This window comes from Homo sapiens, chromosome 3, assembly GCF_000001405.40.
Source record: "Homo sapiens chromosome 3, GRCh38.p14 Primary Assembly".
In the NCBI taxonomy this organism is placed as follows: Eukaryota; Metazoa; Chordata; class Mammalia; order Primates; family Hominidae; genus Homo; species Homo sapiens.
In genome coordinates, this window is record NC_000003.12 from 47882403 (window position 1) to 47907957 (window position 25555).

Here is a 25555-nt window from a genome sequence, read left to right on the forward strand (position 1 = left end):
TGTTGGTTACCTGAACATTTTTAATCTTTTTAATTTCCTTTTTTCATTTTTTCAAATTACATCTCACCCAAGGTTACCTGAACATTTCTTAGAATTCTATTTTTATTAAAAAAAAGCTTTTGAGTATATTGCTCTGTATAGTTTTCTTAGTGGTTGCTCTAGGTATTACAATATACATACAACAAACTGGTATCAATGTTCTACTACTGTTTTTTCCTCTAGAGATGGGGTCTCACTGTGTTGCTCAGGCTGGTCTCAAACTCTGGGCTCAAGTGATCCTGCCGTCTTCAGCCTCCTGAGTAGCTGGGACTACAGATGCACACCGCCACACCCAGCTATGTTTTACTACTTTGAGTGACCTACTGGAACCTTACTTCCATTTAGGATCCTTTATTTTCTCCCTACTTTAATTTTTTTTTTTAAAGACAGAGTCTCACTCTGTCGTCCAGGTTGGAGTGTAGTGGCACAATCTCGGCTCACTGCAACCTCTGCCTCCCAGGTTCAAGTGATTCTCATGCCTCAGCCAACCGAGCAGCTGGGATTACACGTGTGCGCTACCATGCTTGGCTAATTTTTCTTTTTATCTTTAGTAGAGATGGGGTTTCGTCATGTTGCCCAGGCTGGTCTCAAACTCCTGGCCTCAGGTGATCCACCCACCTTGGTCTCCAAAAGTGGTGGGATTACAGGTGTGAGCCACTGCGCCCAGCCCTAAAATATGTCTTAAGTGTTTCCTCTTCATAGATTAAGCACTACATCAGATGGCATTACAATTTGTGCTTCAAATATGATTTATGACTTTAAAAAATTCATGAGGAGATAAGTCTATTATATTCCTTTTTTTTTGGAGACCAAGTTTTGCTCTTGTTGCTCAGGCTGGAGTGCAGTGGCATGGCTCACCACGACCTCCACCTCCCGAGTTCAAGCGATTCTCCTGCCTCAGCCTTCCTGAGTAGCTGGGATTACAGGTATGCGTCACCACGCCCGGCTAATTTTGTATTTTTAGTAGAGACGGGGGTTTCTCCATGTTGGTCAGGCTGGTCTCGAACTCCCGACCTCAGATGATCCACCCGCCTTGGCCTCCCAAAGTGCTGGGATTACAGGCATGAGCCACCATACCTGGCTATTTCCATATTTTTACCCATTCCATTGTTGTTCTTTTATTTCTGAAATTCCAAGCCTCCTTCTGTTACCAAATCTTATTTTTTTGGAGAGCCTCCTTTAGCCATTCTCTAAGGGTATGTCTACTAGCAACAAATTCTTAGTTTTCCTTTATCTAAAAATGTCTTTTTTATTTATTTCCCCTTCATTCCTGATGGATTGTTTTACCAAATAATTTGCAGTTGACAGTTCTTTTCTTTTGGCACTTGAAAAATGTTGTGCCACTTCTTTTTGCATTCCCCAGTTTCTGATAAGAAACAGGCTGTCATTTAAATGCTGTTTCCTCAGCACCATAAGGAAGGTTAAAAAAAAAAATTGCTGTTTCCCTAATGCATCATATCTCTTTGCTTTTTTTACAGATTTTTGTCTTTAGTTTATAAAAGTTTAATTATGAAAAGTCATGGCATGATTTCTCCACATTTATCCTATTTGGTATTTGTTCAGTTGCTTGAATCTGTAAGTTTTGTCTTTTGTCAAATTTGGGATGTTTGTTGTCATTATTTCTTTGAACAGTTGTTCAGCCTTGCATCCTTGCTCCTCTCCTGAGATTCTGATGATACAAATGTTAGATCTTTTGTTATTGTCCCATGGGTCTGAAGATATGTTTTTTCCTTGTAGACCATTTTTTCGTCTGTTGTTCAGATTGAATAAATCCTATTGATCTGTCCTCAACGTCACTGATTCTGTCCTCTGTTATCTGCAGTCTGCTGCTGAGCCCATTGAAGTTTTTAATTTTAATTATTATATTTTTCATATTGACAATTAACATTTGGTTCTTTTTATGTAACTTCTATTTCTTTACTGAGGTTTTTAGTTTTCATTTGTTTCAAGAGAATTCATAATTGCTTGTTAAAGCACTTTTATGATGGCTGCTTTAAAATTCTGATTTTGTACTTTAGCATGCAATCACCCTGTTTATATTTAGTCTACAGGTTATGACTGTAGTTCTGATGACAATTTGGTTCCTAGAGCCCTTGCAATGCATTTATGGCCTGTTGTGTTCTGATTCTGCTAAGGTTCTAACTAATCCCTTTTGGTACTGCCTGAAAGGGCTGTAGGGACTTACCTGTGTCACCCAGTGTCAGCACATAGGGGCTGAGTGATGCTGGAAACATAGAATAGAGAGCTTCCTCTGGACTGCTCTCTGGCTGCCTGGGACCCAGGCAGACCTCCTGTTTGATCTCTGCTGGGGTTGCTGGGAGCAGGAAACACCTACCTCGGGGGCTTTCTCTTGCTAAGGGGAAGGAAGTAGAGGTTCTGAAACCTACGAAAGTCTCCTGCCCCTGGGTAGAGGATTACAAGACACCAGGGCTATAGAAGCCACTGGTGCTGTTACCTGGTAGGGGACAGGCCTCCCTGCAGTTGCTGGTGATGTGGGCGGACCAGGCCTATAGCTTCTGCTGAGTATGGAGTGGACAACAGGAAGGCCCTTATGGGCTGCATTGACACTGTACCTGCAGGCAGACTGAGCCCACTGCTGGGGATGGGTAGTGAAACAGGGCTCACCATTAGGTCTTTGCTGGGTTTTTTTCTTTCTTGTTTTTTTGGCAATAGAGAACAGATTTTCTCTATTTGTTTTCTTTTTTCCTTTCCTTTTCTTTTCAGTCTATGCCTGTTGGTAATTCCAGGTTACAGGCCTCTCCAGTGCCCAGCCAGGGATATGTAGGAGACAAAAAGAAAACCCAGGGGATGGACGCAGTGGCTCATGCCTGTAATACCAGCACTTTGGGAGGTCAAGCAAGGAGGATCACTTGAGGTCAAGAGGTCAAGGCTAGCCTGGGCAACATAGCAAGATCCCATCTCTACCATCAATCAATCAATCAATCAATCAATCAATCAATTCATCAGTCCCAGGGAATTCACTGTATTGCCATTCCTCAAGTCCTGAGATCCCTACCAGGTTTGCCTTCTTTCTACCTCATATTCTTTTATGGAATTATCTTCAATTATTTCCAGACTATTTAGTTGTATTTACAGGGGAGGAGCAGAAAACAATGAGATGATACCATCTTGTCTTGGTAGGAGGTTTTTGTAATGGAGAGCACTTTGTACTTTTTGATGTTTGAACCATATGTACTTTTAGTCAAAAACTGAGTATTTTTCTAGTTTTAAAATGTAATGGGGAAAAACCATAGCCAACAACTGTGCAAATTTGTTAACGCCTTTGTTCTTTTTTTTTTTTTTTTGAGACGGAATCTCGCTCTGTCACCCAGGCTGGAGTGCAGTGGCGCCATCTCGGCTCACTGCAAGCTCCGCCTCCTGGGTTCATGCCATTCTCCTGCCTCAGCCTCCCGAGTAGCCGGGACTACAGGCGCCTGCCACCACGCCCAACTAATTCTTTGCATTTTTAGTAGAGTTGGGGTTTCGCTGTGTTAGCCAGGATGGTCTCGATCTCCTGACCTCATGATCCGCCCGCCTCGGCCTCCCAAAGTGTTGGGATTACGGGCGTGAGCCACCGCGCCCGGCTAATGCCTTTGTTCTACAGCAAGCTCAAAGAAGATCTTACTTGTGTAACTAGCTGCCACTGGCCCCAGACCACTATAAATATTTTTCAATAAGTTCAGCATTTTTCAGTAAACAACATATTTCATAAAGTCGCATTGTCTATGATACAGGCATGCAGTAACTCGACCTATACAAATAAATGTAACTGTGCATAAGCAGAAACTGCTTTCTCTCTCCCAGAAGGTAGTTCTCACCAAGCCCTTTCCCTTGTCTCATGGATATATAAGGCAACTTCTTTTTTGTTGTTTGTTTTGAGACCTGATCTTGATCTATCTCCCAGGCTGGAGCACAGTGGCATGATCTTGGCTCACTGCAGCCTTGTCCTTTTGGGCTCGAGCAATCCTCCCACCTCAGCCTCCCAAACAGTTGGGACTATAGGTACATGCCACTATGCCCACCTAATTTTTGTATTTTTCCATAGAGATGGGTTTTTTGCCATGTTGCTCAGGCTGGTCTCAAACTCCTGGCCTCAAGTAATCTGCCTGCCAAGGCCTCCCAAAGTGCTGAGATTACAGGCATGAGCCACCAAGCCCAGCTATCAGGCAATTTCTAGAGACCACCACCCACATATCCCCAGAGTTTCACAAAAGCAATGTCTGATGTGGAACTTACTAACTCCTTCAATGAACTGTGCTCTTCTGTTGGGTCTTTCCATTACCTATACTACCACTGGCTGGGAAAACCAGCCTCACATCACAGCATGACCTTCAATTCCTTTTTCTCACACACCTTCCAAATTCCAGTTTCACTTTATCTTCACCTGTTATATTTCCCCTCTCATATCCTCAGCGTTTCATCTGCCACTACCTGAATCAAATTTCTAACAGGATTGTTTGCTTTCAACTCTTTGTCTTCCAGTTCATCACACTTACTGAGAACAAGTAAATCTTCCTAAAGCTGACCTGGAGCTACTTTATCTGCTATCATAGGCAGTCACCACAGTTTCAGAACATGGTAGTGAGAGGTGACAGCGTGCTGGCAGTCCTCAGAGCCCTCGCTTGCTCTCGGCGCCTCCTCTGCCTGGGTTCCCACTTTGGCGGCACTTGAGGGGCCCTTTGGCCCGCCGCTGCACTGTGGGACCCCCTTTCTGGGCTGGCCAAGGCCAGAGCCAGCTCCCTCAGCTTGCAGGGAGGTGTGGAAGGAGAGGCGCGAGCAGGAACCGGGGCTGCGCGCAGCACTTGCGGGTCAGCTGGAGTTCCGGGTGGGCGTGGGCTTGGTGGGCCCCGCACTTGGAGCAGCCAGCCAGCCCTGCTGGCCCCGGGCAATGGGGGACTTAGCACCCGGGCCAGTGGCTGCAGAGGGTGTACTGAGTCCCCCAGCAGTGCCGGCCCATAAGTGCTGCGCTCGATTTCTCACTGAGCCTTAGCTGCTTTCCCGCGGGGCAGGGCTCGGGACCTGCAGCCCGCCATGCCTCAGCCTCCCACCCCTCCATGGGCTCCTGTGCCGCCCGAGCCTCCCTGACAAGCACCACCCCCTGCTCCACGGCGCCCAGTCCCATCAACCACCCAAAGGCTGAGGAATGCGAACGCACCACGGCGCAGGACTGGCAGGCAGCTCCACCTGCAGCCCCAGTGCGAGATCCACTAGGTGAACCCAGCTGGGCTCCTGAGTCTGGTGGGGACGTGGAGAGTCTTTATATCTACCTCAGGGATTGTAAATACACCAATCAGCACCCTGTGTTTAGCTCAAGGTTTGTGAATCCACCAATCGACACTCTGTATCTAGCTGCTCTGGTGGGGCCTTGGAAAACCTTTATGTCTAGCTCAGGGATTGTAAATACACCAATCGGCACTCTGTATCTAGCTCAAGGTTTGTAAACACACCAATCAGCACCCTGTGTTTAGCTCAAGGTTTGTGAATGCACCAATCGACACTCTGTATCTAGCTGCTCTGGTGGGGCCTTGGAGAACCTCTGCATCTAGCTCAAGGTTTGTAAACACACCAATCAGCACCCTGTGTTTAGCTCAAGGTTTGTGAGTGCACCAATCGACACTCTGTATCTAGCTGCTCTGGTGGGGCCTTGGAGAATCTGTGTGTCGAAACTCTGTATCTAACTAATCTGATGGGGACACGGAGAACCTTTGTATCTAGCTCAGGGATTGTAAACGCACCAATCAGTGCCCTGACAAAACAGGCCACTCGGCTCTACCAATCAGCAGGATGTGGGTGGGCCCAGATAAGAGAATAAAAGCAGGCTGCCCGAGCCAGCACTGGTAACCCGCTCGGGTCCCCTTCCACACTGTGGAAGCTTTGTTCTTTCGTTCTTTGCAATAAATCTTGCTACTGCTCACTCTTTGGGTCCACTCTGCTTTTATGAGCTGTAACACTCACCGCGAAGATCTGCAGCTTCACTCCTGAGCCCAGTGAGACCACAAACCCACCGGGAGGAACGAACAACTCCAGACGCGCTGCCTTAAGAGCTGTAACACTCACTGCCAAGGTCTGCAGCTTCACTCCTGAGCCAGCAAGACCACGAACCCACCAGAAGGAAGAAACTCCGAACACATCTGAACATCAGAAGGGACAGACTCCAGACGCACCACCTTAAGAGCTGTAACACTCACCGCGAGGGTCCGTGGCTTCATTCTTGAAGTCAGTGAGACCAAGAACCCACCAATTCCAGACACAGTAGTAAGCTTTAAACTTTTCAGTGGGACATTTGAAGCTTAGCAAGATTGGATTCCAAACAACTTTCTAGAATTTTCTCCCATTATTTCTTGTCACATATGTAAAGACGGCTTTGGAATATTTCCTTAACCTATACTCTCTCCTTTAGAGAAGCCTCAAGGTGAATGAAGCGGGTGGGTCTAAATGGCTCAGATTGGTTAAGAAGGCTATGGGACCTGGTATAGAGTTGACTGGACCAAGCTGAGCCAATAAGATATAATTACTCACTCATTGTCAGTATAGACAAAGACATGGAAATGACAGTCATGCAACATCGGAACCCTGACATATATGGTGGTAACAAAGCTGGCCACAGAGCTCAAACCATGGCAACTCAATGCTATTCTGTCCTGGGCAGAGTTACAAGGGAAGCAAAAAGAGATGACAGAGGAAATACAGATTTTTAAAGGGAAGAGAATGGAGTACATGTGCAGGGAGAAGCAGAGGTCCCAAGAGAGATATACACAATGGCAGCAGCCTGGCCACATTTCCTGTGACTGGATGCCCTGAGATTCCTCCATTGTTCTTTTACCTAACATGAGCTGTCTAGGCTTCATATCTTTGTTTAATATGAGTTCCCTTGCCTGGAAGGCTTTCCCTCCGCATTATTTGGCATCCCAGGGTTCCAAGGCCCACCTCAAATGTGACTTCCTCCAAAATGTTTCCACAATTCACAACCCTCCCACTGCCTCCCAGTCCTCCAACTGGATCAAAAGTTGCTTGAGGATAAGGATAATTTCCAGTGCCTAGATAGTGAATGCAAATGGTAGGCATGTTAAATGAAACAATCTTCCTATAAAAGTTTTATCTACAGAGTGGTTAGCAGAGTCAGCATTTAAACATTTATCGGGTGAATGGATCGGTGGATTTGTCAGTCATCTGAAATTTTTTTCTATTAGCACAAACTTCTGTTAGTCTGAATTAGAAAGAACTTGTTCTGAAACAAAGTCTTCACTCATGATCACCTAGAAGTTATGTGGTACTGAACAAAGCACCTGGGGATCAAGAAAAAGATGACAAAGTCCTGTCCAGGAAGAGCTTACAGTTCTGTCCCAGCTAGAAGGAAGCAACAGCATGGGACACCTGAATGCTTGTAATTCTGGAGTCATAAGAAATCAAAGAGGAACTATTAAGCTTCTTTGCCTCCATAAAAAAACGTGTTTTTTATCTCCATAAAAAACAAAAAATGTTTTTTATCTCCATAAAAAAAAAAAACCCAAAACATCTGTATGTCTTCTACTTACCACTCCCCTAGAAAATACCATTTCTTACTTTCAAAGAAAAAAAGTACAATTTCATAAAAATATACTGAGAGTAATAAATATTAGAGAAAACAGGTCCCAGGAAACAAGACTATTTTTTTTTAAACAAGCAAAACACATGTTTTAAATCCCCATTTACAAGTTTGTGAATTATGGCCCTTTGTGCTCAAACTGGACTCGGAGAAACACAAGCTTTTTTAGACCACCACAATAAGAGCTGTGGGGGGATGGGAGATGGGGAAGAAAAGAAAGGGCCAGGAAGAAAGACACAAAAGGCTGTCACAAAGACCGCAAAATTTAGCTGTTTATTAGGTTGCAAGTCTCTCCTTCTCTCCCTGCTTTCTCTTTCTTCTTTTTCTCCCCACAAATCCTCTCAAAACACATACAAAAAGAGAAAACTAGAAGCAAGATTGGGTCAAACATGAAGAACACAGAAAGAATATTAAATAGCTAGCTTTAAAGGGCTCTTTTTCAGTTTGAACAAAAGTAAAACGTTCTCCAAAGCAAAAACAGAAAACAGAGCTTCCACCCAGATTGTGCAACTTAATGAGAGGAGGTTAGTGCTGATAAACCCATTGTGAATCTATATAAAGTGACAGATTTTCAAGCAAGGAAATCAATCAGTTGGGATTGAAGGATTTAGAGCTCAGGAATCATCTGGTTCAAACCAACAGGGAGCTGAGGGCTGGGTGGATGGGGGATGGGTTGGACAGGGTGACATGAGGTCAAGAAAGGGGGTCTAGTTTTTATACCCACCATTCTCTGACCCCATTCCACCCCAAACTTGCACACTCAATTCACATTATCTGTCATGCTAGCAAGACATTCAGCTTGACCCTGCAAGATTCACTTTGTTCTCTTCCTTGCCTCACTCCCAGCAAGCTTCCAACACAAGGGAATTAAGCTTTCCCCAGGCAGTCACAGAACCCAGCTGTAAAAAGCTGCTTAGTGCTCTGCCGGTAATCTGTCACTTTGGTTCCTTCCTTGCTGTCTGCTTGTTCCCAATGGAGGCAAAATTTAGAAACATACCATCACGTGGGGGCTTTTCAAACAGGAACGATGGAGTGCTCTGGGTTGCAGTGACCTCAATTTCTTTCTTCCCTGCCAGAGCCGTCTGTCCTGGCTGTTTCTCTCCTCGCTGGCAAACCTGCGAGCATGAATCAATTCTAGTTTCACTAAAATCTTCCTGCCCTTTTTCCTTGCTGCTTCCTTCAGGAATCTGCTCCAGCTTACTATGGAGATATAATCCAGCAGTGCCGAGTTCCTTCTTCCCAGAGTTGCTGCTGCTGTTGCTGAAGTGAGCCAATTCTTCTCTCTTCTTGGCCACTGGTTCCTCACAGATGAAAGGAGGTATCTCTTTAGTAGACAAGATGGGCAGTTTCCCAGGGCTCAATTTGTAGCTAGCTGTCTGTTCCTCACCCACAGTCATGGAGCGCTTCATAGCAGGAGCTCCCAGTTTCCCAGGTGTAGGACTAGGCATTGGGCTACTAGGGGGAGGCAGCAGGCCAGAAGAAGGCTCTTCTCGGGCAGGGAGTTCAGGGTACTTATCTGCAAGGTTGACAGCTGGGGGAACTGAGAGGTGAGAACATTCAGACAGGGCCCTGCGCACTGCCTTTTTCTGCTGGGGGGCTTGGTTGAGCACAGCCTCCTCGGTAGAACTCAATTTCTCCAACTCCTTATCATGGTCTCTGATGTGACAGCTTGCATTCAAATGTTCCTGGGTGAACACCATAGTGATTGGCGGAATGGTGGTGGGTGAATGCTCAATAATGGGGGCTGGGTGGGCTAGAGACACCAGGAGTGGGGACTCACACTTCAGCTGCTCAGAGTTATCATTTACCACCCCAATCACTGGGCAGCCAGGGGTGATGCTATTCTCCATCTCTCCCGGAGTTGCTTCCCTTGAGCCCAGAGAGCCTTGAGCCACTGGATGAAAGCTGGGGTTCCAAACACTGGTTTCCTGCTCCTTAACATATCTGGTAGGGATGTCAGCAGCCCCAGGGAAATCCAGATCTGACTGGCTCTTGGTCTCTAGTCCATTCTTCCCTGCCACCTTCCCCTGAACTGGAATGGTTTTGTTTTTGTCTGGCCCCTCTATGAGTCCCAGATGGAACTCGGAGGTCTTCTGGTGTACCGAGTTCCCCTCCAAGGGATGGCAGGTCTCTGAAATCACATACCTGCTCTCAAGGTGACCTGAGGCTTCTTGACAGTCCTTGTCCTGCATTTCAATGCTCAGCTCTTTGTCTAGCTTCCCCTCAAAAAAGCAGAGCTTGTTCTGCTCCAGGAAGCTGGCATTCTTCACAAGCCCATCTTTTGGTTGCCCGTCCATGCTGACATTCAGCCCAATTTCATTCAGTTTGCCCTCTGTCCTCTGCCATTCGAATCCGGCTTGACTGATTTCTTTTGGGGAGTCCATTCGGCACTCTGCAGGCTTGCCCTTACTGAGCTGACCGTACGCGGCAGTGAGAGAGGCTGTCTGCTTGTCTGAGAGCGACATCGTCTCTCCTCCACTGCTCTCCCTGCTTTCGCTCCTGGAGCTCTAATACCACCTACGATCACACAGAGCTTGCAGTGACATCACACCAATTCCCCAGTATTCATGACAAAATTCATCTCTCCCTCAATGCCCCTCTCTCCTCAAGCAGTTGAGTATTAAATGCACTTACAAATGTGAAAGAAAGAAAGAAAGGAAGAATGAATGAAAGCGAAAGAAAGGAAGGAACCTGCTGCTTTCTGCACAACAAAATGCTACTTTAATCTGAGAATGTAATTTCCCGTGAACTAGCACTCTGTTTAGATCTGCAATTTAAAACACAGTATGGTGCCAATCCAAGCACTAAGGATAGTAATTATTTTGGCTTTCACTGATATAGATACGTGCATACCCACACACTCATTTATCTGATACCATGCCCACCCTTCCACATTCAACCACTCAGAAAACTGTTTTAAAAATAACCGAGACTCATTTGCCAATCCCCAGCTATAACCCTGAAGAACAATGAATCCAGGAAATTGTTCAAAATTGGACTAAAAAAAAAAAAAAAAAACCACACCTTAACGTAGTATTAAGATTGCAGGCATTCATTCTCAGAGGAAGAGTGGGTTTGCTGTCATAGCAACTTATCAAACTAACTTGAAAACTGACTTGAGTGGGGTCCCCAAAACCCGTAAGAGCTCCATCTGTAGCTCTGCATAATGGAAGAGTTTAATAAAGGGTTCATTTAAAGACTTCAGTGATCAGGGCTTTGGGGATAGATATTCTAATTATAAGACATTTGTGTGACAACATACCCCTTATGCATTTACGCCTGTCCCTGCCCCCACTTGGTTCCTTGGATGAGCTGGGTTGCTCCCTCCACTACCAAGCCCTGCTCTTTCCAGCCTAATAATCTGTTAGGTGTCATGTGAACACACTGGGGGCAGTGCATCTTTCTCTGACCTCCAGACTTAGGGACTCTAACAATTGTAGCTTGGAGTTTTCCCCACTCACCAGAGCTTACTGCCCCCATTTAACTCAGCATGGTCCTTTGCTGCCCTGGGCTTTGAGCTCAAATATTGTATATTCAAACTGAAGGAACCATAAAACAAAACTGTGAGAAAAAAATTACACTATAAGGACAGGCTATACTCTTACTTTGAACAAAGCTGATTTTTCTTGTCTAGCTGTAAGTTACTGTCTTGCAATAACATAGCATACTGGAAATATTCTATCAGAAATCCAAGAGAAGTCTTTTTCCAAGATGAAGAAAAGATTTAGATTGCTTTTTTTTTTTTTTTAAAAAAAGGCCATTTGCCATAAACTGCAATGATTTGATGACAGTTTTTAAACAATGCCTTTAGAAAAAAGGGCAAGTTAAGATTGTTCTTTGGTCTATAAAATGTAAAGAAATTACCAAGGTCCGCATAGGAAAGCTTGCTAAACTGTAGCCTCTGTCCCCAAGAACTCACCTTCTCTATTCATACCACTCAAGTTCCCAACAAGAGTACAGGGATCAACCTTATATACCTTTTCCATTACCTTCAGTACCTGACACAGGGCTACACTCATGATGATGAGTGGCAATGTTGCAATGCTGAAAAAAAAAAACTGAACATGAACTGAGCCTCATATACATTTCTTCCCCTTGATCTTGAGCTGTTTAGTAACAATACATGACAAAGCACAATACAGATTAACTGGCAAGGAACCTGGTTTCCATACTCTATGGCAAAGATCTTGCTAAGGAAAAGGAAGTGAGGTATAACAAAATGAAGAATGCCAGGAGAATCATGATTCTAATTAGTAACAAGAAAAAATATGATTGGCCGGGTGTGGTGGCTCACGCCTGTAATCCCAGCACTTTGGGAGCCCAAGGCAGGTGGATCACGAGGTCAGGAGATCGAGACCATCCTGGCTAACATGGTGAAACCCTGTCTCTACTAAAAAATACAAAAAATTAGCTGGGCATGGTGGTGGGTGCCTGTAGTCCCAGCTACTCAGGAGGCTGAGGCAGGAGAATGGCGTGAACCCACGAGGCGGAGCTTGCAGTGAGCTGAGATCACGCCACTGCACTCCAGCCTGGGCGACAGGGCAAGACTCCGTCTCAAAAAATAAAAAAAAAAGAAAAAATATGAGGCGAGATTGGGTACAGAAAGGCCTTGGTAATACAACATAGTTGAATTCTTGCTTTCTTTTTTTATACATATAATTGAATAATATAATTAAGTATGTACAATATGTGAGGAAAATTATGAAAGTCTGGAGATGGCTGGGTGCCATGGCTCACACCTGTAATCCCAGCACTTTGGGAGGCTGAGGTGGGCAGATTGCTTGAGCCCAGGAGTTTGAGACCAGCCTGGGCAACATGGCAAAACCCTGTCTCTACAAAGAGTACAAAAATTTAGGTGGGCATGGTGATCACAATTGTGGTCCCAGCTACTCAGAAGGCTGAGGTGGGAGAATTGCCTGAGCCCAGTAAGTCAAGGCTGCAGTGGGCCGTGATCACATCACTGCACTCCAGCCTGGGTGAGAGGAAACCCTGTCCAAAAAAAAAAAAAAGGGGGTGAGGAAGATATTGTTGTAATACAGTCTGAATATACCAGAGGAAAACTCTGGAAAATACCTTAGAAATCAGGTAAGCCTCAACAACCCCATTCTGTGTAAACTAGTCACCCCCCACAAACGACACACACATATACACCCTTAATTTACTGACATGGTGGGGAAAAAATTAATTTGACTTTGAGTCAGAAGGCCAGATTTTAAAATCTGTGTCACTTAATAGTTAAGAGTCTTAGAAACTCATTTAACTGCTCTTAGCTTCAGTTTCTTCCTCTATAAAAGGAGGGGAATCTTTAAGGTGCTCTTGGATTCAGTTTTACCACTTTCACTTCTGAAGTTGAAACAGCCATTCAAGTAATCACAGGCCCACTGCTATGTCCAGCTCAAAGTATGACTTCAACCTGGGACTCCACTAGGCAGTATCTTCAGTAACCTTTCTGTCTCATGCGGGAGTGCTGCCTATTGGCAGAGGCATGACTGGGCATGGCGGACGTTGCAGCATGTCTGAAGAAAGTGGTAGTTGGCCCTTATATTCTGAAGAAGTGGAAAATACCAAGGCAAAGAACAAGCATAGAAACTTGTTCCTTATAGCCAAATTATTTTTAGTTCTGGCCAGCCTACCCAGACCCACTTCACTAGTTCATCCCTACCCAACAGCTAAGGCAATAACTAAAATTACAGGTCTCTGCTACCTTCAGATATCACATATTCTGCCTCAGTAATTCTATCCATAAACAGCAGACTGCAAAATGTGAACCAGCCAAAAGACCAAGAGCAGAAACCAGAAGAATGAAGCTAGTCAGGCACAAAGAAGTGCATATTCCAGACTACAGTTCATACTGTGTAGATCAGAAATGTGGTCAAACTGAAAAAATATAATTATGAGGTCAACATCTAGCAACTGGGCCAAGCACTGGCTTCATAGTTACAAGGCTCAGGAGACAGAGAGTTGAAAGAAGCAATCTGGGGTGGGGGGGCGGTCAGAACAAGAAGTTCAAGCCCATAGAAGGGGCGAGTACCCAAGACATCATGTCAGCCAGGTGCTCAGGCATACAGATAAGTTTGGTGGTCACCCAGGGGTCTGAGTACAACAAAACACATAGCCGTGAGGATTGAGGGAATATATATAAAAAGCATTTGACAAAGTAGTTAAAACACACAAATACATAATGTATCTACTGATGCTAGCTTTAAAAAAACAACCAAGAAGGCCGGGCGCGGTGGCTCACGCCTGTAATCCCAGCTCTTTGGGAGGCCGAGGCGGGAGGATCACCTGAGGTTGGGAGTTCGAGACCAGCCTGAACAACATGGAGAAACCCCGTGTCTACTAAAAATACAAAATTAGCCGGGCGTGGTGGCACATGCCTGTAATCCCAGCTACTCGGGAGGCTGAGGCAGGAGAATCGCTTGAACCCGGGAGGCAGAGGTTGCAGTGAGTGGAGATCATGCCATTGCACTCCAGCCTGGGCAACAAGAGCGAAACTCCATCTCCAAACAAACAAACAAAAAAACAACCAAGAAACTGTACATATATATATATGAAGTAGGTTTTCCTACTCCCTATAGGGAATCTGATGTGTAGTAATAATAACAACAACAACAACAAAAGTGAGAAAGCCTAAGTCCCTGGACTGGAGAACTGCTGCACTCTGGTAAAGACAGACAAAAACAAAACAAAACAACCACTACTACTCACAAGAAACAACATATAAATCGTAATTGCAATCACTAACAGATAAGAGAAAAAGAAAAGCTAAATTTCAAAATCTGGGGCACTGCCTAAGGAAAGTAAATAACCTATTCCCTGAATCCCTTTTAGGACAAGGGTCCATTATATCCATCAACAGTACTGCAAAGACACTAAAGTATGTGTGACAGTACAGAGTCAGAATGCTGAGGCTTCCCTAACAGACCCCTCATTTTATAGAGGAACAAAATGGTGTCCAGAGAAAAAAAGTGGTTTGCCCATGATCACATGGTGAAAACTTAATGGAAAAGCCACAAAGAAGATGCTAGGTTTCTGACTGCCAGTCTTCCCAAACCGCTGAGCAAAAATTAATCTTAGTCACTAGATGACTCTCCTTTTCGATGTATCTTTATTTTTTTGAGAGGGGGTCTCGCTTTGTTGCCCAGGCTGGAGTGCAGTGGCATGATCTCGGCTAACTACAACCTCTGCCTCCCAGGCTCAAGCGATTCTCCTGCCTCAGCTTCCGGAGTAGCTGGGATTACAGGCCCACACCACCACACCTGACTAATTTTTGTATTTTTAGTAGAGACAGGGTTTCACGATGTTGGCCAGGCTGGTCTTGAACTTCTGACCTCAGGTGATCTGCCCAACTCGGCCTCCCCAAGTGCTGGGATTACAGCTGTGGGCATTGCGCTCGGCCCAATGTATCTTTTTTGTGATCATTGAAGTACTTCAAACTTTAATTTGGAATTATAATTTAATTCTTTTGTGATCACTCCAAAACTCCCAAATTAATACACAGTATGCATACACATGTGTGTGTATGTATGTGTGTTTAGGGGAGCAAACGCGTGTTTGAAGTAAGGGAGAAAAAGAGGCAATGCACTTGGTTTCGGTGTTTACTTTATATCTTAAGAACGGTCTTGTTTGAGGCCGGGAGTAGTGGCTCATGCCTGTAATCTCAGTACTTTGGGAGGTCGAGGCGGGCGGATCACAAGGTCAGGAGTTCGAGACCAGCCTGGCCAACATGGTGAAACCCTGTCTCCACTAAAAAAAGATACAAAAAATTAGCTGGGTGTGGTGGCAGGTACCTGTAATCCCAGCTACTCGGGAGTCTGAGGCAGGAGAATCGCTTGAACCTGGGAGGTGGAGGCTGCAGTGAGCCGAGATCCCACCACTGCACTCCAGGCCAGGCAACAGAGTGAGACTCCATATCGGGGGGGGGAAAAAAAAAAAAGAAAGAATGGTCCTGCTTTAATTATGCAAAGAGTAAGATGTGGGTGACTTATTCCTTAGCAAACTTCTGTTTCTAATTTCCAGTCTTAAGAGAACTTAGATTTATGTTAATATCTTTCTATGGTGCCTTAGCACTGTAAGTTTCCTTTCATGTGGCTTCTGAGTAGGAAGACAGATTCAGCCTCACTAAGAAAAAGCAGAGAACCAGACGCTTTTACAGAGGGGGAAGGGACAGAGTAGCTTCTAGTTTCATTACACTAGGCTGGGCATGGTGGCTCACCCCTGTAATCCCAGCACTTTGGGAGGCAGAGGCAGGTGGATCATGAGGTCAAGAGATCGAGACCATCCTGGCCAACGTGATGAAACCCTGTCTCTAGTGAAAATACAAAAATTAGCTGGGCGTGGTGGCACGCACCTGTAGTCCCAGCTACCCGGGAGGCTGAGGCAGGAGAATTGCTTGAATCCGGGAGGCAGAGGTTGCAGTGAGCTGAGATCGCGCCACTGCACTCCAGCCTGCCAACAGGGCGAGACTCCGCCTCAAAAAAAAAAAAAAAAGATTACACTATTGCTTTTGCAAGGCATACAAAGATATTAAATGGAAGAATAATTAATGGCTTTGTTGCACCCCAAATGAGGTGAATGCCACCTGGATGACAAATGATGGGGAAACCCTAGTATAGAATAATTAGTAAAACTCAAGAAAGACTGGGCATAGTAGCCCACGCCTGTAACACCAGCACTTTAGAAGGGTTAGGTGGGAGGACCACTTGAGGCCAAGAGTTCAAGAGCCTGGGCAACATAGCAGGACCCACATCTATACAAAAAAAATAAGAAAAAAATGTTTTTTAGCCAGGTGTGGTGGTGCATGCCCATAGTACTAGCTACTTGGGAGGCTGAAGAAGGAGGATCACTTAAACCTAAGAGTCTGAGGCTGCAGTGAGTGAACTATGATCACGCCACTGCACTCCAGCCTGAGCGACAGAGACCTTGTTTAAAAACAAAACAAAACAACCCACAGAACACCCTGAGAATGGCCAGTTCAGTACTCCAGTCCAAATAAGAATTACAGACATAATCTCAATCAGGGATGCAGATTTATCCACAGGAAATAGCCACAGCAAGAAACTCCAATCTCCCAGCCACTGTAAAATTATATCAAGTTGGTGGATGAGGTAAATACATGAAGTTTGAAAAGGGTGAGCCTGCCTAGGTAAAAAGAAACACACTTAAGAACCAGAAGGACTAAGTCCTAGATTCAGCTGCCACTGGGATTCCTTGTCTCTAGGTTCTTCCTCCCCAGGAGCTGGGATTACAGGTGTCCCAGCTAATCACCACACCCAGCTAATTTTTGTATTTTTAGTATACACAGGGTTTCACTATGTTGGCCAGGCTAATCTGGAACTCCTAACCTCAGGTGATCCTCCTGCCTCAGCCTCCCAAAGTGCTGGGATTACAAGTGTGAACCACCGCACCCGGCCCCTTGCCTCTAGGTCCTATTCCTACTCACTCACCTCTGCAAAGTCTCTTTGAACCCCTCCTGAGTTCTTTATATTATCATAATACTCTATCTCTTTTTAGAATTTAGAAACCACACTGTAATCTTTTATTTATATGACTTTCCCAGGAGCTTCTAGAAGGTAGGAATGTGAACTGTGCATTTGTGCCATGTGGGTGCACTGCACAGTGCTTGACTCACAGTAAATAAGCTTTCAAAAAAGATCTGCTCAGTGAAAGGATGGGTAGTTTCCTTTTACACTGCATCTGCATCATTTGACCTGATCCGTTCCATCATTAAAGCTGTCTTCAACCCAACCCAAGCGGTGGTGATCTGGAATGTCCTTTGAGCTAAATATTGTGAAGTTCTATTCCATTCTGTCTGAGTTTGAAGAAAGCGCATGGATTCCTGTGTGTCTGGGCAGAAGGTGGTTTCCAGGACTCTTGGCAAAGCCTGCAGGTCTCTAATCCCAGTACATGTACTGGCAGATATTTCTGTTTTAGCCTTGTGCTTGGAGTTAGTATTTAACCTGTTCAGGGCCTTGGTTTTTATACATGACAGACAACTAGTTTCTCTGCATTCTTTCTTATCAGTTACCAAGGCAACACTACTTTCCAGATTGACCAACTGTTCCCAGTTATTGCCTCCAGGAAACAATTATCATTACAATGAAAGTCAATAATTCTACTATTAACAATGATTGATGACACTCACTCCTTGTTAATAAAAGATAAAGTTGTCAAGTTATAATCTAGTTTCTTCCCTGGAAGTAAACGTTCCAAGTGTTTAGACATACATACATAAAGGTAAAACTATTTCAGAAACCATATTCTACATTTTAGAAACATTTCTCATGTTTTAACTCAAGAAAATAAATCATGATTCTCCCTGATTAAAAAAAGGATGAGAAGCAAACAGACAGAATGAATAAGCTGAGGCGAATAATCTGATATATGTGAACCAAAGACATGAAAATGCTTATGGATAAGAAATCCTCTAAAGGCCGGGCATGGTAGCTAAGGCCTGTAATCCCAGCACTTTGGGAGGCTGAGGCAGGCGCATCACCTGCTGGAGTTTGAGACTAGCCTGGCCAACATGGTGAAACCCTGTCTCTACTAAAAATACAAAAACTAGCTGGGTGCGGTGGTGTGCACCTGTAGTCCCAGCTACTTGGGAGGCTGAGGCAGGAGAATCGCTTGAACCTGGGAGGTGGAGATTACAGTGAGCCGAGATGGCGCCACTGCACTCCAGCCTGGGCTACAGAGGGAGACTGTCTCAAAACAACAACAACAACAACAACAACAACTCTAAAAACTACAACTTGGAAATATCAAGTCTTTGTTCTTTTAAGTCTAGTATGGACCCTCCCATAGCCCTCCCCAAAAGAAAAGAGAATCATCCAACTAAACTAGGTAGAAAGATAACCCATTTCTTCAAGCAAAAATCTAAGATCTTCTGCTTTTAGAGGCACACAATACCCCTAGGATCCTTTAGGAGCTTACTTTCTTTTCCCCAATTTCATCTCAAAATGTTTAACAGATGTCCCTGTTTCCCCAAACTTGACTTTATTCCATGCACCTGCACTTCACTATGCATGCCTTTACACAGCTGTCCCCTAGAATTCTTTACCTTAATTTGCTCAGCAAACTCTTAGCCATACTTTCAGAGTCTCCTGTGTGAAGATTTCTCTAGGTCTTGTAGGAAAACTTAGTCCCTTTCTGCTCTGTATTTCCATAGGATCTAGCTCACACTTCTATCCTTTTTCAGAGGAGTAAACTTCTCTTACTAGAGGAAAACTGTCTGTTTTCCACCCTGGAATCTCTGAAGAGTATAGAATGTGTTTTATTAGTCTATTTTTAGAGTAGGAGTAATGTCACTTGGTATCTACTGAATGAATGAATAAACTAAATACTAAAAAGTACAAATCATGCTGTGTGTCCGCTATTTGCAGAGCAATAGGCAATGTTTATACACTTCAGGAGGCCGAGGTGGACGGATCACTTGAGCTCAGGAGTTCAAGACTAGGTTGTGCAACATGGCCAAACCCAGCCTCTACAAAAAATACAAAAATTAGCCGGGCACGGAGGCACGCACCTGTAGTTCCAGCTACTTGCAACTGAGGTGGGAGTATCACCTGAGCCCAGGAGGCGGAGGCTGTAGTCAGCTGAGACTGTACCACTGCACCCCAGCCTGGGCAACTGAGCAAGACCCTATTTAAAAAAAAAAAAAAGAATGGAAGCCCCCTTACTGTCACCTCCATATCTTAAAGAAATAACTATATCTGCAATACTGTAAATCAAAACTAAGTTTTTATTTTAACAGTGTGTTCAGAATCCCCCAATGCTATTTGTCAACCAGAGGGTACAAGTGAAGGGTGAGGGAATATGAGGGGAAGAAGCTTCTTTTAAAGTAGGATATTCAAGCCAGGCATGGTGCCTCACACCTAGAATCTCAGCACTTTGGGAGGCCAAGGAGGAAGGATTGCTTGAGGCCAGAAGTTTGAGACTAGCCTGGGCAACAGAGTGAGACCCCATCTCTACAAAAAATATTCACCAGGTATGGTGGTGCACACCTGTAGTCTCAACTACTTGGGAGGCTGAGGCAGGAGGATTACTTGAGCCTGGGAGGTCGAGGCTGTAGTAAGCCGTGATCATGCCACTGCACTTCAGCCTGGGTGACAAAGTGATACCTTGTCTCAAAAAAATAAATACAAATTTAACAAAACAAAGTAGGATAATCAATTGTTGCTTGATTCATTTCAAAGAATATTTAAATGTTCTGGCTCAAACAAGGTAATGACCACACAGTATTTTTTGGAGGTTAAGAGTTTAGGATGGCAATGAGTATATAGTAAGGTTCAATAAATGGTAGCTATTTTTAGTTGTGTGACTAGTCCCAATAAATTTCATCAGCATGGTAGTAAAAAAAAGCCAGTGGAGTCAGGCGCAGTGGCTCATGCCTGTAGTCCCAGCACTTTGGGAGACCGAGGTGGGTGGATCACGAGGTCAGGAGTTCAAGACCAGCCTGGCTAACATGGTTAAACCCCATCTCTACTAAAAATACAAAAATTAGCCGGGCGTGGTGACACATGCCTATAATCCCAACTACTCAGGAGGCTGAGGCAGGAGAACTGCTTGAACCCAGGAGCCAGAGGTTGCAGTGAGCCGAGATTGTGCCACTGCACTCCTGCCTGGGCGACAGAGGGAGACTCTGTCTCAAAAAAAAAAAAAAAAAAAAAAAAAAAGAAGCCAGTTGAATCAGAGGGCAAGTGGGGTGAGAGTAATGAGGAAAGGAACTTCACAAATGGCACTACAGTTAAGAAAAGACATTACCAAATGGGTACTTCTCCAGTTGTAAAATAGTAGCAAGTTCTAAGATAACAAATGGTTTTTTCATCTGCTGAGCATATTTTATTTATGTACAAGGGCCTTGAAACTGTTAGAATTCTGGGTTTATAAATTACTTCAAGTTTCACACCAAGAGAGTTTCTCACCATAAACTGACATTCCCAGCTGCTGGTAGACAGTTGATGAGCTCAAGCAAACTGAAGAAAGAAATGAAAGCCAGATTATAAGAAGACCAGGCTTCACTATGGCAAAGGGAGGGCCTATTTACAGGGATCCCAAACTGTCCCATTCACAGTAGCAGCATAGCAAGTACACTGTCACTCACAGTTCTACTTGGTTTCCAGGGGAACAACTAACATGGAGCGGGTATTGGAATCTAATGTGGATCATCCTTTCAAGTTTGTGCTTCCCTTCACAAAAAACACAATCCCATAAGAAGTCCTTTTCTGGCCAGGTGCGGTGGCTCACCCTTGTAATCCCAGCACTTTGGGAGGCCAAGGCGGGCGGATCACGAGGTCAGGAGATCGAGACCATCCTGGCTAACACGGTGAAACCCCGTCTCTACTAAAAATACAAAAAATTAGCCAGGCATAGTGGTGGGCGCCTGTAGTCCCAGCTACTCGGGAGGCTGAGGCAGGAGAACGGCGTGAACCTGGGAGGCAGAGCGTGCAGTGAGCCGAGATCGCGCCACTGCACTCTCGCCTTGGCGAAAGAGCGAGACTCCGTCTCAAAAAAAAAAAAAAAAAAAGTCCTTTTCTGAAAAGTTGAGCTTAGACTTCCTGACGTATTGCATTAATCTTCCCTGCCTGGAAGAACATGCATAGTATGCAAAGAAACCTTCTGTTAAAGTTTCCCTAAATTTGACAGCAGCATGAAAAAATAACAGTAGAGCAAACAGTAAGCTGGAAGAGACTTTGGCAATATATTCACTTTCCCTACTTCTAAACAGGGTAAGATCAGCAAAAAGATAATTCACTTATAATTCAAAAAATGTCATTAGGCATCATGTATATATAAAGCTCTAGGCTGGGTGTTAAAAAGTACATGTAAATAAATCAAACACAGACTCTCTGGACAATAAAATGCTAGACAGAGTCAAAAGACCTAGATTCTAATCCTAAATTAACCTCTAATTCACAGTTTATATTTTCATGATGTATCTTTATTTCTCCAAGTAGAAAAGTGTTTAATTAGTGCCTAGATACTAAAAAAAGTCTATTTTATGTTTACTAATTGTCAACCTTCATCTTTTTCTTTTTAAGTACCTGAAACTTCCGGAAGCTTCTGAAGCAAGTCTAAGAAAAGCATGGATCTTAGAAACATAAAGACTTGGATTCAAATTCTAACCCTGGCACTTCACCAGCTATGTGACCTTGACAGCCTCCATTTTCTCACCTGAAAAATGGAGATAATCTTTAATAGTGTTATTTTATGTGTGTGTGTATGATCTATTTACCTATTTCCAGATAACCAGGCAAATAAAATCAACTCAATAGGTGGTAGGTGCTATTATTATTATTATTATTTTTTGAGATGGAGTCTCACTCTGTCTCCCAGGCTGGAGTGCAGTGGTGCGATCTTGGCTCACTGCAACCTCTGCCTCCTAGGTTCAAGAAATTCTCCTGAGCCTCCTGAGTAGCTGGGATTACAGGCGTGCGCTGTCATACCCAGCTAATTTTTGTATTTTTAGTAGAGATGGGGTTTCACCATGTTGGCCAGGCTGGTCTCGAACTCCTGACCTCAGGTGATCTGCTGCGCCTGGCCAGTGCTATTATTATTAACACCCGGATTAGTTAGAGGTACTATTATTTTTACTAACACCACTAATAATATCTTTTTTTTTTTTGGGCGGGGGGGCTAGAGAGGGGCGGGGCGGGGGATGGAGTCTCACTCACTCTATCGCCCAGGCTGGAGGGCAGTGTTGTGATCTTGGCTTACTGGAACCTCTGCCTCTTGGGTTCAAGAGAGCGATTCTCCTGCCTCAGTCTCCTGAGTAGGTGGAATTACAGGCATGCAACATCATGCGTGGCTACTTTTTGTATTTTTAGTAGAGATGGGGTTTCACCATGTTGGCCAGGCTGGTCTTGAACTCCTGGCCTCAAGTGATTTGCCTACCTCAGCCTCCCAAAGTGCTGGGACTACAGGTGTGAGCCACTGTGCCCAGCCAACACCATTTGTAATATCTTTACTGTCCAAACAATGGAAACCATGGGTGACACCATTTGACCACAAGACGAATGAGAACAAGATATGTGAGAATTGGTAGCAATATGGGGGCAGGGCAGTTAACATGAATGATTCAAAGTGAGGAACAAAGATAAACACCAGTGATGGACTAACAAAACATGTGAACACATTATGCTGTTCGACAGAAAAACTCGATATGCAAGACATAAACTCTCCCTACGATAAGCTAGAAACAGTGACTTCAAGAAAAATATTGAGTGGATTAATTTTTCTTCTACAAAACTAAAAAATAAGAATAGGACAACTCTGAAAAAGAATAATAGGGCAAGGGGTTGGGCTAGCCCTATTAGATATTAAAATATATTAGGAAGCCTGGTGGAAAGATCAATGGATCAGGAAAGAAAGTCCAGAAATAGACCAAATACATGCAGAAATTTAGGGTATGACAAAGGTGGCAGTTCAGTGGGAGATCGATTATAAACATGATGGTGGGATGACCAAGTAACCCTGCCTCACAACCTTATAAACAAAACATACCAAAACAACAACAACAACAAAAAAAAAAAACCCCACAAACAAGCAAATTCTAGATTGGCCAACAATTTAAAATGAAAAATATTAATAGAAGAGAAAAGAAAATATTTTCATAATTTCAGAGCATGGATTGGCTTTTATAAACTTGTTAATACATGAAGAAGTCACTAAAAAAAAAATAAAACACAGCCAGGCATGGTAGCTCATGCCTGTAATCCCAGCACTTTGGGAGGCTGAGGCAAGTGGATCGCCTAAGGTCAGGAGTTCAAGACCAGCCTGGCCAACATAGTGAAACCCAGCTCTACTAAAAATACAAAAAATTAGCTGAGCGTGGTGGTAGGCACCTATAATCCTAGCTACTAGGGAGGCTGAGGTAGGAGAATCGCTTGAACCTGGGAGGTGGAGGTTGCAGTGAGCCAAGATCGTGCCATTGCACTCCAGCCTGGGCAACAAGAGTGAAACTCCATCTCAAAAAACAAAAAAAACAAACAAAAAACAGCACACACACAAAATCTATGCCATGAAATAATTTTTCACCGATTAGATCAGTACACATAACCAAAAAAAAAAAAAAAATCACACTAGTAGAGAAAGGCAGGGAAACAGGTATTTGTCTATGTTGAGGGTGGGAGTAGAGATGTACCTTTCTCTACAAGGGACATCTCTGTAGGCCTACAGAGAGCAATATGGAACACCCATCAAAATTATGAATACATATTCTTCAAACCAGAGATTCTTACTCCGGAGCCCCTTTTTATTACACAGACGCACACACATGAAGATGACATCCTATAGATACAAAGATAGTTTATGTACCATATTTCTAATGAAAAAAAGTTGGGAAACACCTAAATGTGCATCAGTAAAGAAGTACTGGCCAGGCACGGTGGCTCAACACCTGTAATTCCAACACTTTGGGGAGGCTGAGGCAGACAGATCACCTGAGGTTGGGAGTTTGAGATCAGCCTGACCAACATGGAGAAACCCCGTCTCTATTAAAAATACAAAATTAGCTGGGCGTGGTGGTGCATGCCTGTAATCCCAGCTACTCGGGAGGCTGAGGCAGGAGAATCACTTGAACCCAGGAGGCAGAGGTTGCGGTGAACTGAGATCATGCCATTGCACTCCTTCGTGGGCAATGAGAGCAAAACTCTGTCTCAAAAAAAAAAAAAGTACTATAATACATTAGTATATACCTATGTAATGAAATAGTATACAGCTATCAAAAAAGAATGAGTCATATCTAGAGACATGTACCAGGAAAAAAGATTAAAAAAAAAAACAAAAAAAAGAGGCCTCTTTCTTTATACTGATTCTTTTTTTTTTTTGAAATGGAGTTTCCCTCTTGTGGCCCAGGCTGGGGTGCAGTGGCGCGATCTCGGCTCACTGCAACCTCCACCTCCCAGATTCAAGTGATTCTCCTGCCTCATCCTCCCAAGTAGCTGGGATTACAGGCATGCACCACCACACCCAGCTAGTTTTGTATTTTTAGTAGAGATGGGGTTTCTCCACGTTGGTGAGGCTGGTCTCGAACTCCTGACCTCAGGTGATCCGCCTGCCTCGGCCTCCCAAAGTGCTGGGATTATAGGTGTGAGCCACTGCGCCTGGCTTCTTTATACTGAGTCTTAAAAGATCTCTTTAAAAATTAAGTTTAAAAAGAATAGCACACATCAGTATGTATGTATACGTCTCATTTATATGAAATCAGGAAATATATATGTTATTACTTATTATACATAAATTGTCTGGAAGGATATATAAGCTATTGTGAACACTGGTTGCTCTGGAGAGGGAAAGCTGGAAGGCGGTTAATGGAGGGAGGCCAACTTACGTTTTACTGTATACTCCTTTGTACCATGTGAATGTATTAACCTATTCGACAATTAGTTTAAAAATTTTTTTTTAACTATTAAAAAGGTATACATTGTCCTTAGGGGAAAGGTGTGGTAGAATTTATAGAAGAAACAATAAATTTTGTCCCAAACCCATTATCCTTCCCATACCCACTCTGTAAGGCCACTGCTAACACAGTCTCTGAGCCTGACCTGACCCAGGCAGGGCCCCAAAAGTTCTGCAGTACTGGTCTTGCTTCCTCAAGAAAAACAAATCCTCTTTCTGCATTTCTTTGGAAATACTGAGCAAAAAGAGATGGCTGGGATTTCACAGAAATTACATGTTAACTTTTAGATCACTGCTGAAACTAAAGAATGGGTCTAGAAACCAAAACGAAAGAACTGGATAGAACACTGGAAATCTCAATGAATGCTGGAAAGCCCTCTACATACTATTTCATTTTCTGCCTTGGTAATAGGGTAGCTAATAGAAGATAAAAACAGAGAAGATGAGAATGTCTTATGCAAATAACAACCTTTAGCATTCTTTACTCACACAGCAGTATTCCTTAGTGGGTACATACTCATGCATAGACAAGCT

At 43.9% G+C, this 25555-nt stretch overlaps 1 protein-coding gene across 163 annotated transcripts in view, besides 1 other annotated feature; it reads right to left on the reverse strand.

Moving 5' to 3' along the window:
* Positions 1 to 25555, reverse strand: part of MAP4 (microtubule associated protein 4) — a 238154-nt gene that overhangs the window by 31708 nt on the left and 180891 nt on the right. For 10 of the 163 annotated variants that reach the window (NM_001384679.1, NM_001384745.1, XM_047448119.1 and 7 more), the window contains one exon: positions 20548 to 20598. The exons of the other annotated variants lie outside the window; for them this stretch is intronic. In NM_001384679.1, coding sequence (NP_001371608.1) covers positions 20548 to 20598 — 51 coding nt within the window. The remainder of the gene's footprint in view (positions 1 to 20547; positions 20599 to 25555) is intronic. 163 annotated transcript variants of the gene reach the window in all.
* Positions 2149 to 2228: an enhancer, noted in NCBI's record as "active region_19820". NCBI's record gives its function as "activates an Ori minimal core promoter by ATAC-STARR-seq in GM12878 lymphoblastoid cells {active_cell/tissue: GM12878}" and the evidence as "EXISTENCE:reporter gene assay evidence [ECO:0000049][PMID:35858748]".